The following is a 13892-nucleotide window of genomic DNA, read 5'->3' as shown; positions in this document are numbered from 1 at the left end:
ACAAAGCTGGAGTCACGCTACCTGACTTCAAACTATACTACAAGGCTACAGTAACCAAAACAGCATGGTACTGGTACCAAAACAGAGATAGAGACCAATGGAACAGAACAGAGCCCTCAGATATAATACCACACATCTATAACCATCTGTTCTTTGACAAACCTGACAAAAACAAGAAATAGGGAAAGGATTCCCTATTTAATAAATGGTGCTGGGAAAACTGGCTAGCATATGCAGAAAGCTGAAACTGGATCCCTTCCTGACACCTTATACAAAAATTAATTCAAGATGGATTAAAGACTTAAATGTTAGGCCTAAAACCATAAAAACCCTAGAAGAAAACCTAGGCAATACCATTCAGGACATAGGCATGGACAAGGACTTCATATCTAAAACACCAAAAGCAATGGCAACAAAAGCCAAAATTGACAGGTGGGATCTAGTTAAACTAAAGAGCTTCTGCACAGCAAAAGAAACTACCATCAGAGTGAACAGGCAACCTACAGAATGGGAGAAAATTTTTGCAATCTACCCATCTGACAAAGGGCTAATATCCAGAATCTACAAAGACCTTAAACAAATTTACAAGAAAAAAACCCCATCAACAAGTGGGCAAAGGATATGAACAGATGCTTCTCAAAAGAAGACATTTATGTAGCCTAAAGGCACATTAAAAAATGCTTATCATCACTGGCCATCAGAGAAATGCAAATCAAAACCACAATGAGATACCATCTCATACCAGTTAGAATGGCGATCATTAAAAAGTCAGGAAACGATAGGTGCTGGAGAGGATGTGGAGAAATAGGAACACTTTTACACTGTTGATGGGACTGTAAACTAGTTCAACCATTGTGGAAGACAGTGTGGCTATTCCTCAAGGATCTAGAACTAGAAATACCATTTGACCCAGCCATCCCATAACTGGGTATATACCCGAAGGATTATAAATCATGCTGATGTAAAGACACATGCACACATATGTTTATTGCAGCACTATTCACAATAGCAAAGACTTGGAACCAACCCAAATGTCCAACAATGATAGACTGGATTAAGAAAATGTGGCACATATACGCTATGGAATACTATGCAGCCATAAAAAAGGATGAGTTCATGTCCTTTGCAGGGACATGGATGAAGCTGGAAACCATCATTCTTAGCAAACTATCGCAAGGACAGAAAACCAAACACCACATGTTCTCACTCACAGGTGGGAATTGAACAATGAGAACACTTGGACACAGGATGGGGAACATCACACACCGGGGCCTGTCGTGGGGTGGCGGTAGTGGGGAGGGATAGCATTAGGAGATATACCCAATGTTAATGACGAGTTAATGGGTGCAGCACACCAACATGACACATGTATACATATGTAACAAACCTGCACGTTGTGCACATGTACCCTATAACTTAAAGCATAATAATAATAAAACAGTGAAAAAAAAGTCTCTCCTCTTTAAACCATTACAGTGGCAATTAAGTTTCGACATGAGTTTTAGAGGGAACATTCAAACCATAGAACCCTGGAACGAGTGATTTATTATTGAAGCACTCTTTTTTCCTAGGGCAATTTAGTAGCCCTTTTGGTTGATTAAAAAACACTTAATGAGTATAATCACTGGTTTAAGGATTGTCTAATCTGTCCTGATAAGTAAGTGATATGCTGAACAGCAGCTTTTTATTTTCCTTGGAAAATATTGCAGGATAATAGCCCTAAAGACTTTAACCTTTCTTATTTGAGCTAGTCCCATCTCTTCTTAGAGTTGGCAAGTAAATGCTTCTCTGATTTAGTGTGCCGGACACTGTTCCTTATTCCACCAGTAGAGGAAATGGCAGTAACTGGAATAAAAGCCCTCTAAGGCTGCCTACCTGACATTCTCTAACATGCTGCAGTTTTGGAGACCTAAGCTATATAAAACTCAACGTGTTTTCCTTTTGAGTTAATCTTTTTAGGAAGTCTTCCTGTGTTGAATCATGAAAAAATTGCTATTCGGGCTCTTTTAAACTTTGTTTTTCTTTTTCTAGAATCAATGCTATAAAGGAGATAACAGCTCGATGTCCTCTGGCCATGACTGAAGAACTTCTCCAAGACCTGGCTCAGTATAAAACACACAAGGATAAGAGTAAGCTGCATGTTACTCTCTACACACCAAAGAGTACAGTGTGACTCCTTTTTACCTCATTGTACTCTATGGGCCAGAATTTCTAATTAAAAGTATTATTTTACAGATGTAATGATGTCTGCTAGAACTTTGATTCACCTCTTCCGAACACTGAATCCTCAGATGCTGCAGAAGAAATTCCGGGTAGGTAAAGCACACTTATGTTGGTCTAAAGGTTATGGTCTCACAAACTGAGAGAAATTTCCTACAATTAGGATTTTAGTACTTATGATGCTTCTGTTATGATTACATGGTTATGATGCACACGGTTGTATTCTTTAAGCTTGGAATCAAATACCATGGCCCTGAATATTTTATAGTTGGCACATATTCATTGATGATGACTGTGTCTTGAAGACCTATCAGGCTGTTTCAGCTTGAAAGCTTTTAATGTTATTAACAGATCGGAATCTCAAAGATCAGTCAGTAGCTGATGCCAGTTTTGTGAACAGGCTATTGCACAGCCAGATACTACCTCTTTCAAGTTGGAAGGGAGGAGGGATGCATGTATGTAACAGAAAGAGAGATGACGTTTTTCAAGACTTAAAAAATTAGAGCAGTTACTCTCTAATAACTACCAGTGTCTTGATCTAGATCAAAACACAACAAGAAAATAGTGGACAGATTGCTGGCTGGGGATTTATTTTGACCTGAGACATAAGCAAACTGTTGCTGTCATTTGGTTACCAGCATTTTTTATAGTGCTCCCTTTTAAATTCATAATTTTGTTAGCTGGGTGTGGTGGTGCGTGCCTGTAGTCCCAACTACTAGGGAGGCTGAGGTGGGTGGATCCCTTGAGCCCAGGAGGCGGAGGTTGTAGTGAGCTGAGATTGTACCACTGCACTCCAGTCTGGGCAACAGAGCAAGACCCTGTCTTCAAATAAATAAATAAAATAAATTCATAATTTCAGAGACTACCTTTCATGATTAAGGTTTTATGATCTAAGCAACTTATTACAAACAATTTCTTTTCCTTTAGGGTAAGCCTACAGAGGCCTCCATAGAAGCAAGAGTACAAGAATATGGAGAATTAGATGCTAAAGATTACATTCCAGGAGCAGAAGTTCTGGAAGTTGAGAAAGAAGAGAATGCTGAAAATGATGAAGGTTGATTTTTATTTCACCCTTATTTTGGGCAAAACACTCCTGCAGTATCTGTGCAGACCTTTAAATTGTATACTATTTGAACATTCATTCAGCAGATATTTATTGAGCAATGACTATGTGCCACGCACTGTTAGAAGTATGGGGGATCAATTGAGCATGGTTCCTCCTCTTGCGGAACTTATGTTCTAGCATAGGAAATGCCTTTTCATGACCTTCGGGGTGGCTGCCGCTCATCCAAGGGCATGCTGTTTGGTGCTTGAGAAAGACAATGATCTTGTGTTTGTTGCCTAGAAAAAATTACGGGGGTTAGCCCTTAGAGGAATCCCCCAAAATTCTCCTTGTTGAAGGAGAATGCATGTTGAATTTGTGGGCAAATACTCGAGGAACTCCATTCTAATTTCCAGAGTCGTGTATTCTTCCTGTCCATTCATTCATTATTCAGCAAATCTTTTTTTTTTTTCCTCACGTTGGAGTCTCGCTCTTGCCCAGGCTGGAGTGCAGTGGTACGATCTCAGCTCACTGCAACCTCCATCTCCCAGGTTCAAGCGATCCTCCTGCCTCGGCATCTTGAGTAGCTGGGATTACAGGCGTGTGCAGCCATGCCTGACTTATTTTTTTATTTTTAGTAGAGATAGGGTTTCACCATGTTGGCCAGGCTGGTCTTGAACCCCTAACCTCAGGTGATCCTCCCATTTTGGCCTCCCAAAGTGCTGGGATTACAGGCGTGAGCCAGTGCACCCAGCCTATTTGATCAAAGCCCTCTTAAGCATTTGTTGTGAGCCAGCCACTGCCAATGCAAAGATGAATGGTATTATTTCTGCTCTAGAGGGCTTCCAAAGGGCTGAAGAATGAAGTGTTAACAGGATTTATGATTGGAGTGGGTGGGGGCATAAGGGCAGGAGAGCAGTCAGGTCCACCTCGGAAGTTTTTTTTTAGGTTTTTTTTTTTTTTTTTTTTTTTTTTTTTTTGAGACAGAGTCTTGCTGTGTCGCCCAGGCTGGAGTACAGTGGCGTGATCTCGGCTCACGGCAAGCTCCACCTCCTGGGTTCACGCCATTCTCCTACCTCAGCCTCCCGAATAGCTGGGACTACAGGCGCCCGCCACCACACCTAGCTAATTTTTTGTATTTTTTAGTAGAGACGGGGTTTCACCGTTTTAGCTAGGATGGTCTCAATCTCCTGACCTTGTGATCCGCCCGCCTCAGCCTCCCAAAGGGCTGGGATTACAGGCGTGAGCCACTGCACCCGGCCTTTTTTTTTTTTTTTTTAAAGGGCTTTGGAGAGATGGTGACTGATGAGCCAGGTATTTGGCAAGGAATGCTAGAATAGCAGAGACTTTCCAGGCAAAGTGTGAGCAAAGTCTTGAAGGATTTAGGGAACTAACTATTAGAATGTAGGATACAAGATGGAACATAGAAAGACAGGAGGCTTGAGATAGAGTTTGGTGACCTTTTCATACTTGGTTATGTATATGCCAGACAAAAGAGCTGGCACGTTCTCTTAAAGATCATAGGGAGTCATGGAAAGATTGCAGTGTCTGTGATTTAGAAAATTTAAACTGTGGTGGCTCCATTAAGAAGCCTGATACCTTTTTATTGAGGTGTCTTCAGGATTCTTTAACATCCCAAATATTCTACCTCAGTTGTCTGAATGACTAACTAGATTCTCATACGTGGGTAACACGCATAGGACAAATTAGATGCCTGCTGCGTGGCCAGGATAAATGTACAAGTGCAGTTTTGATGGACACAGTTGGTTTAGTTGAAAGAACATGACCCTAAAGGTAGACATGATTTTCATGATTTCAGTGTAGGATGCCTTTTTAGCGGTGTGGCTTGGGGCACATTACTAAACTCTGAGCATCTGTTCCTTTTCTTTGGAGTTATGAGGGTTAGAGAGAGTGATTGTAAGGTTTTGACTCATGGTAGATACTTGATCAGTGCCTATTTCCTATTCCTTAGATTAACTAAAGGCACATTGTTTATTTAACAATAAATATTGCTCAGTTCTTGGTTAATAATGTATCTGTTCAAGGTTCATTACTTTTCTGTTGCTTGCTTCATCTCAACTTTATGTTGAATGTGCAACATAAAATGGCAGTAGTGGGTTTGCTTTTTTCACGCAGATGGATGGGAAAGTACCAGTCTCAGTGAGGAGGAGGATGCTGATGGTGAATGGATTGATGTGCAACACTCTTCCGATGAAGAACAGCAAGAAATCGTAAGTCTGAAAATTTCATCTTATAACCTGGTGTTTATTAAGACGTAATTTATTCTGGGCCTTGTTGGGAGGCTACAATTTAAATGGCTGAGCTCTCACTTGAGCTGGTAGCCATTTAAGCCCTTGTGTGGTTTCAAGTCCAAGAAGCTGAACAGCATGCCCATGGAGGAGCGGAAGGCCAAAGCTGCAGCCATCAGCACTAGCCGAGTTTTAACTCAGGAAGACTTCCAGAAAATCCGCATGGCCCAAATGAGAAAAGAACTTGATGCTGCCCCCGGGAAATCCCAGAAGAGGAAATACATTGAAATAGACAGTGATGAAGAGCCCAGGTAAAATGGCACATCCACTTTAGTACTTCAGTCAGCTCATGTGGTAATGAAAGCATCAGGAAACAGAATTCCATTCTTGTTTCATGTGTTATTTTTCCCTCACCCCAGGGGTGAATTACTTTCTCTTCGGGACATTGAACGCCTTCATAAAAAGCCAAAGTCTGACAAAGAGACAAGACTAGCAACTGCAATGGTGAGTGAGCATATCATTCCTAGTTTTTTAAACAGAAAGCAAATAAAATGAAACATAAGCCAGAACTTGTATAGCCACAGAATGGCAATTTTTAAAAATGTTTTAAATAAAGGTATAATTAACACAGAAATTAAAATGCACAGATATTAGATGTTCAGTTAGATGAGGGGTTTTGTTTGGGTTTGCTTTTGTTAGTATGTTTGTTTGTTTGTTTTTTGCGACAGTCTCTCTCTGTCACCCAGGCTGTAGTGCAGTGGCACAATCTCAGCTCACTGCAACCTCTGCCTCCTAGGTTCAAGCGATTCTCCTGCTTCAGCCTCCTAAGTAGCTGGGGTAACAGGTGTCTGCTACCACGCCCAGCTAATTTTTGTATTTTTAGTAGAGTCAAGGTTTCGCCATGTTGGCCAGGCTGGTCTCAAACTCCTGGCCTCATGCGATCCACCCGCCTCAGCCTCCCAAAGTGCTGGGAGTATAGGCATGAGCCATTGCGCCCAGCCAGTTAGATGAGTTTTGACAACTGTATATAGCCATGTAACCACCACTCAAAACAAGGTAGAGAGCACAGGAAGGCAGTATTACATGTCTGTATTGTCAGGAAGCCACTATATTTATCAAAGCTAAGAGAAAAGTAGGAATGTGTTTACAGTCACCAGTGAAAAGCCAGAGCCAGTTGGAGTCTGCCTGTGGCTAGTGCTGTGGCTGCTCATGTCTGTGTCCTGCCTACATTTCCAACATCATTTTCTGTATCTCCACTTGTTTGAGACACTGTCCCCTCCTAGTTCCACCTCATCCTCTGTCTTCCATGTGTCCTTTCTCCTCCACACCTTTGTGTGCACTGTCCCTTCTTCCGGAAATGCTCTGTCTTTCCCCTCCTTTCCCTTACCATGAATGCCTTCATCCTGCAAAAAAAAAAAAAACAAAAAAAAAACAGTCTACCTGTCTCCCTTTCTAGGAAGTTCCCCTGACCTCACCAGGCTAAATTATGACTTTTCTTCCACCGAGCTCCCCTTGCTCTGTTATAATACTGTATGGCCATTTCTTGGTCCCAAGGAGCAAAGACTGTGTCCTGTCCATTCTGTGCCCTTGGCACCTAGTAGAGCTTCTGACACAGAGGAGACATTAATGTTGATTAGATGACTCCTAAAGTATGTTGTTGAAGAAGAAATATCAAACTTTTTGTTCTGGTAGGCTGGAAAGACAGACCGAAAAGAATTTGTGAGGAAGAAAACCAAAACAAATCCATTTTCCAGTTCGACAAATAAAGAGAAGAAAAAACAGAAGAACTTTATGATGATGCGGTATAGCCAGAATGTCCGGTCAAAAAATAAGCGTTCCTTCCGAGAAAAACAGGTGAGTTCCACTTGAAGCTTGGGTGGCAAGAACAGCACTGTAATTCCAAGACAGCTTTACATTTGAGACGGACTTGCGCCTTCTGAAGACTGGGCATTATTGTGTGTGTCTTGGGAGCATTGTTGGAGAGCATTGTTGGAGAGTTCCCATTAATGGGAGCATTGCTGGAGAGCATGGAGAGGTGAGAAGGATTCAGGGTATGTAAATCCCAGACCTGACTTGATTGAGACTCAGCTGTGGGACCAGAGGGGAATCCATTTTCCTCCAGTATAAGTAAAGGAATGCAAGCTAGATCATCCATGAGGTTCCTTCCCATGCTAAAATTCTCTGACATTTGATCTGTGAAATATAATATCAAAATTAATTGAATAACTTTTTAGTGCCAATTTTATGCCTGGTTTTCTGAGACAGGGTCTCACTCTGCTATCCAGGCTGGAGTGCAGTGGTGCAGTCACAACTCACTGCAGCCTCATGGCTCACTGCAGCCTCGACCTCCCAGGCTCCAGTGATTATTGCGGGATCTGGCCAGCAGCCCGCAATGCAACGGGGCTCTTTCTTTGTTCCCAAGTGGAAAGGCAGGTGGAGAAATAAAAGACACACACAAGATAGTGAAAGTTGGGTCCAGGGGGGTCACCGCCTTCTGGTCCTGCGATGCTGCCAATGCACTGGATATACCACCATTTATTATTAAGTTTAGTGAGAGTGGGCGTAGGTTAGTGAGGGATTTAGGGTCGTTTGATTATGAGGTGAGATGGTCACATGGGGATGAAGTAATTCTTTAACATAACATTGGTATGCAGAAGTACAGTATACAGAGATAAGAATTTACAATATAGTGTGTGCATCAGCAATTTCTAACAGAGCCTTAAAACAGAAACACAGTCTATCCATAACCTACGTTTAGCAAGATATTAATCAGCAGTAACAGTTGCAGCAAAAACTGGTTGTAAACAATCAATAGAAACAGGACGTGAAGCTAGACAACTGGTTAGACCACAAATTCTCAGAAGGTAGTATGCCTTACTCTTGAAGAGACCTACAAGAGCCGTGGCAAGATAAGGGCGTTTATAACCCTATCTTATCCATATGGACAGGCGCCCCTCATGCATCCATTTATAGGCTCTCCACAAGGGTCACATTCCATTCCCAGAGCTATGAACATCTGCTTTTCTGGGATAGGAATCTTGGTGATGTGAAACCTCCCTGACTGCACGTCCGTTCATAGGCTCTCTGCAGGGGGAAGCACATCATGTGCTGTTGGCTCATTCTGGCAGCCCAACCTGGCATTGTTTTTACACAATCTTGCATGCAATTTTGTATTTACAATAATGAGGAGCATTTCATCTTTTATTCTGTAGCAATAGATTCAGGGGGTCTCCCTACAAGTGATCCTCCCACCTCAGCCCTCCAAGTAGCTGGGACTACAGGCGTCTGCCACCACACCCGGCTAATTTTTGTATTTTTTGTAGAGATGGGGTTTTGCCATGTTGCCCAGTCTGGTTTCAAACTGCTGGACTCAAGCAGTCTGTCCACCTCAGCCTCCCATAGCGCTAGGATTATAGGTGTGGGTACTTTTCTCTTTTTTTTTTTTTTGAGACAGAGTCTCGCTCTGTCACCCAGGCTGGAGTGCAGTGGCGCAATCTCAGCTCACTGCAAGCTCTGCCTCCCGGGTTCACGGCATTCTCCTGCCTCCACCTCCCAAGTAGCTGGGACTACAGGTGCCCGCCACCACGCCTGGCTAATTTTTTTGTATTTTTAGTAGAGACGGAGTTTCACCGTGTTAGCCAGGATGGTCTTGATCTCCTGACCTCGTGATCTGCCTGCCTCGGTCTCCCAAAGTGCTGGGATTACAGGCGTGAGCTACTACCGCGCCTGGCCCCAGGCGTGGGTACTTTTCAAAACCCAATAATTTTGTGTGGTGATATCTCAGAAACAGTTTCAGAAAAGCAATGCAAAATAAATAGTGTGTTGGCATGATCCTTCCTGTATGTGCCCTTTTGAAAGCCCTGATGTTTACAGGCTTTGGGATTACATTTTATCCATTCATGGCCTTTGAATGGTAATCCCATGCTACTTAGGCAGCTCATTTATTTCAGTTATTCATTGTGATAAAACAAGTTTATGCTTTTGTATCTTTCTCTCCTTGTGGTGTAGCAGTGTATCTAAATATCATTCTGAAGAATTGCCAGGATATCAGCTCTGGGTTAAACAGTCTCATATTGTGAATCAGTGTTCCTAAATAGCTAGCCAAGGATCAGCCTGCCAGCACTGAATGTAACGGCCAGCCCTCTAGGGCAGTGCTGTGTCTGTGGGTTCCAAGTCAGTATTCACTGAATTAAGGTACCATTTAGCTCTCCCTGTTGACTCTTTCTAGTTCTAAACTGTGTTCAACAACATCATTTAAATAATGACGGCATTTTTAATAGAAGCTGTTGAAACTGAGGTGAAAGGAAAGGTGCCACTTAGGATTTTAAGTACTCTAAATTTTGCCACATTCTCCTAAAATTATAATAGGATTGACTTAAATCCATTAGTCTGTCCTTCACTGGCCCTTAACTAACATTTCAGGGTTGAGGAAGTATTAATTACCCTGTTGGTAGGCCTTGTTTCATTATAAGGTTTCTGTGAGCTTGTTATATTTTAGTTAGGGCTCCCCCCACCCCTACTTCCTTTGTTTTTTAGCATGCCTTTTCTGGCATGAAGGGAAAGCCCAGCTTTGTTCCTTTCAAGCACCTCGAGTCATAAAATAACTCTCAAAGATTGAAGAATCTTTTTGAGAGTAAATTAAGATTTCATTGGACATATGCACTTGTTGGTTCAAGAATGTTTTTTCTTGTTCTCCAATTTTCTTGTCATTTGGAACCTGATATTAATCAGAATTTCTATGTGTGTCCCTTTGCCCTGTATTTTCTTCAAGATCTCTTCATTATAAACATAAACTTTTAAGTTCCTGATTTTCTCTGTTCTCCCCTTTAGACCAGTACTGTTCAATAGAAATATAATATGAACCACATATATCACTTAAAAATAAACAAGTAAAAAAAGAGGAAATTGTAACAATATATCTTATTTAACCCAGTATATCTAAAATAGTATTGTTTCAACATGTAGTTCAACATATAAAAATTATGAGTGAAATATTGTACATTTTTGTTTCTGAGCTAATTGAAATCAGCATGTCGTTAACACTGCAGCACATCTCAATTTGGACTAGCCACATTTCAAATGCTCAGTAGTCACATGTAGTTAGTGGCTACCCTATTGGACACAACAGTTACAGAGCATCCCCAAAACTGCCCTGTGACCCCAAGGGCCCTGTGAGAAAGGAGCATCACACTTCACACACCCCCCTACCCTTTGGTGATATTTCAGTGTCTTAAATAAAGGAATCTTACCTGGCTTGAAAGTGTACATGAGGTCTTACTGTAAATTGTTAGAATATGAAGAGGTGACTGGGATGAGACTAGAAGAGGGAAGTAAAGCATACGATAGGGAAGGAGAGGAGGATCTTGCAGTAAAGCCTGTAGAAAGATAAAAGAAGAAAAGGGGGATATACCTGTTCCTTTTCTTTAATTGGTGGCATTTGAAGGGGAAGGAACTGAAATATGTGTGAGAGTAGGCTGTGCTTTGCTACAAAGCTTAATGAGTGGAAGTAAATTCCCATAACCAACATTAGCTAACACATTTAGTTCTTAGCATGAGACTTCACTATTCCAGGGCTTTCCATTTATTAACTTGTTTAATCAGTATACAACAGTATGTGCAGTTACTGTGATTAAACCAATTTTGCAGATGAGGAAAATAAGATAGAATTAGATGAATCTGGAAAATACCTCCTTAGCCAAATTAAGTTGAAATGAACTTACAGATTTTTGTTCTGCCTTAAGTATCCCAGCTCTTCTGCTTTTCTGCAAAGACATACCAAGACCCAGGTGTGAGTTAAAGGCAAAGAGTCAACTGGAAATCATAAAATCCAAAAAGTTTGAACATTTGTATGTAGAGCCAGGTAACTTCTACCCCGAAACTGTTTTAGGTGTATCTTGTTAAAATTTAAGCTAGAATTTTAAAATAAAAATTAAATAAAAGCTAGAGATTTTTAAAAGTTTCTAGGACAAAGAATAGTACTTGGGAATTAATGGAATAGTATCCATCACAAACTTAAGATGTATACATTGGTCTTGGTTAACTTTAATTTTGGTTTATTTTTGATCATCTTTAATACTATGTTTGCTTTCTTTTGACATGTAAAACTTTATAAGGGCTTTTGTAGGTTTGCGTCAGACACTGATCCTTCAGTCTTCTTTTTCTCTAGATGTTAAATTCTTCACCTTCCAGTTCTACCCTGGGGATCTTGAAGAACCCAGCCTCTGGTTAGAGACAAACTCCAGGAGATGAAAGCCTAGACTGAGTCTCATTATGATATACAATTCACTGCTTTCATTCTTCATGTTCACTTTACATACTTCCAACACAAAATAATTAAACAAGTTAAAAATTAGAGCCTGTATTAACTAGAATAAATATTTTGCCATAAGCTACAATTGTCAGGGCTTCAATTTCTGAGTTAATATCTTCATGTTTGAGCCATTATAAAGGGTTAGTGTTAGCATATACTTAGAACATTTTCTTAGTAAGGTATCACTTTTCTTTGTTTCAGATTTTATATTGATAGAGTTATCATAAATCTACACAAGTGCTGAATGCCATTATAAAATCTTTGAGTGATCCATACATGCCATATTTAGTGGAATATATGTGATATTGGGAAAGGTGATTGATTATGAAGAAAAATCTGTTTTCCTGTTACTTTTAATTTAGACAATGTATTCCATCCACAACTCCAAAATATTAAGAGCCACATAGACCAAATAAGTATTATTTATTATCCCTGGAGACAGGGATAATAAATAGTAGTCTCTGCATTCCATAGCTGCTCCTGTTTTGAGCTTATGCCTCCATGAGTTGGGAACAGCAGTCAAGAGTTTTGCATATTTCCTAGCAGTAATATGCCCCATCCTCGATTCAGATGTGATCTGTTTTGGAATATTTTATCATTTATAGTTTTTCAGGATGGTGTATTGACTTGGTGATTCCTTTTTAGTAAACTTTCATGTAACCAAATTCGTATAATAGGGTACCCAAGAGTTATCATGTTTCAATACTTTTTTATCTTACAGTTGGCACTACGAGATGCACTTTTGAAAAAGAGAAAAAGAATGAAGTAACTTCCTGGCAAGTTTTCCATTCCTAGAAGAATGCTAAGTTTGTGTCCTTGCTCTGAAAATTGGTAAATCAAGCATGTTTGTTTACATTAAAAAGTCCAGACACACTGTATTGTGAAAACTGCTGAACATGTGGCAGCAATTTTGTGTTTTTATTTTGGAGACGGCTAATGGTAGGAATGTTAATGTAAATAGTGGTGGTAATGTAAAATCATTTCATTTATCATTCATGCAAAAAAAAGTATGTATTGAGTGCCTATTCATTGTCACTGTAGATGCAAAACGAATGAGCTGTAACCCCTTCACTCAAGGCATTGACAGCTTAGCTGTGAGGGTGGACACACATATGTGTATTTACAGTGCAGTGTAAATAGTTCTGTAGTAGAGGTTAACTCCATATTTCTGTGAGGTCACTGAGGCCTTATGGACTAACTCTGTGAGGATAGGAGTTATATATTCTTATAAGACAAAACAAAACAGGACAATGTTACAAGAGTAAGAGGTTCTTACTTGTACATAGGCTTTCCTGCTGAAAACAGGCCCCTGCTGTACAGATTTTGGGTACATAATTTAGCTCTTTTAGTCAATCCAAGAGATTTAAGTGACCCCCCCCCCCCCGTGTTTTTTTTGTTTTTGTTTTTGTTTTGAATGCCATGTAAAGGCTTTTTGGTTAAGACCTCACTTTTAAAACTGCCTTAAGTATAAATAGTACCTTTGGAATATATTTAGTTCATCATTTGAGCTGCCTTCATACTGGTTTCCTCAGCCTTCCTTCAGCCTGTAATATTTTCAGCCCACTGTTTACCTTGTCTCAATAAAAGGTTTCTAATGCCAAATACGTACCTTTGTATGTGGAGTGGTGTGTGGTGTTCTACGTTCCACAGGCGTGCTACATCCATTTCAGGGGACAGTCTGTTTGCATGCAATTTTTTGCATTTGGAAATAGTTTGGTGCCTTTTGCTTCAGCTTTCTCAGATAATGTTGTGGTAGATGTTACCTCAAGTTAGAGTAAAGGGCAATTTTCTGCACTCAGAAAGCATTTTCTTTTTTATTTATTTATTTGTTTTTTTTTTTTTTTGAAACGAAGTTCACTCTTGTTGCCAAGGCTGGAGTGCAATGGCACGATCTTGGCTCACCACAACCTCCGCCTCCCAGGTTCAAGCGATTCTCCTGCCTCAGCCTCCCAAGTAGCTGGGATTATAGGCATGCGCCACCACGCCTGGCTAATTTTGTATTTTTGTTTTAGTAGAGACGGGCTTTCTCCCGACGTGAGGTGATCCCAGAGTGCTGGGATTACAGGCATGA

General features: G+C 40.6%; 1 protein-coding gene across 5 annotated transcripts in view; it reads left to right on the top strand.

The window, feature by feature from the left end:
• The window catches only part of SDAD1 (SDA1 domain containing 1), a 41031-nt gene extending 27606 nt beyond the window's left edge, over window positions 1-13425 (top strand). For all 5 annotated transcript variants that reach the window (NM_001288983.2, NM_018115.4, NM_001288984.2 and 2 more), the window contains 8 exons: window positions 2032-2129; window positions 2236-2312; window positions 3148-3274; window positions 5399-5493; window positions 5632-5822; window positions 5931-6015; window positions 7204-7365; window positions 12543-13425. In NM_001288983.2, the coding sequence (NP_001275912.1) occupies window positions 2032-2129; window positions 2236-2312; window positions 3148-3274; window positions 5399-5493; window positions 5632-5822; window positions 5931-6015; window positions 7204-7365; window positions 12543-12590 (883 nt within the window). In that variant the 3' untranslated portion in view covers window positions 12591-13425. The remainder of the gene's footprint in view (window positions 1-2031; window positions 2130-2235; window positions 2313-3147; window positions 3275-5398; window positions 5494-5631; window positions 5823-5930; window positions 6016-7203; window positions 7366-12542) is intronic.
• Window positions 13426-13892: the final 467 nt, after the last annotated feature.

This window comes from Homo sapiens, chromosome 4, assembly GCF_000001405.40.
Source record: "Homo sapiens chromosome 4, GRCh38.p14 Primary Assembly".
NCBI lineage: Eukaryota > Metazoa > Chordata > Mammalia > Primates > Hominidae > Homo > Homo sapiens.
This window is presented reverse-complemented; position numbering and strand designations above follow the sequence as displayed.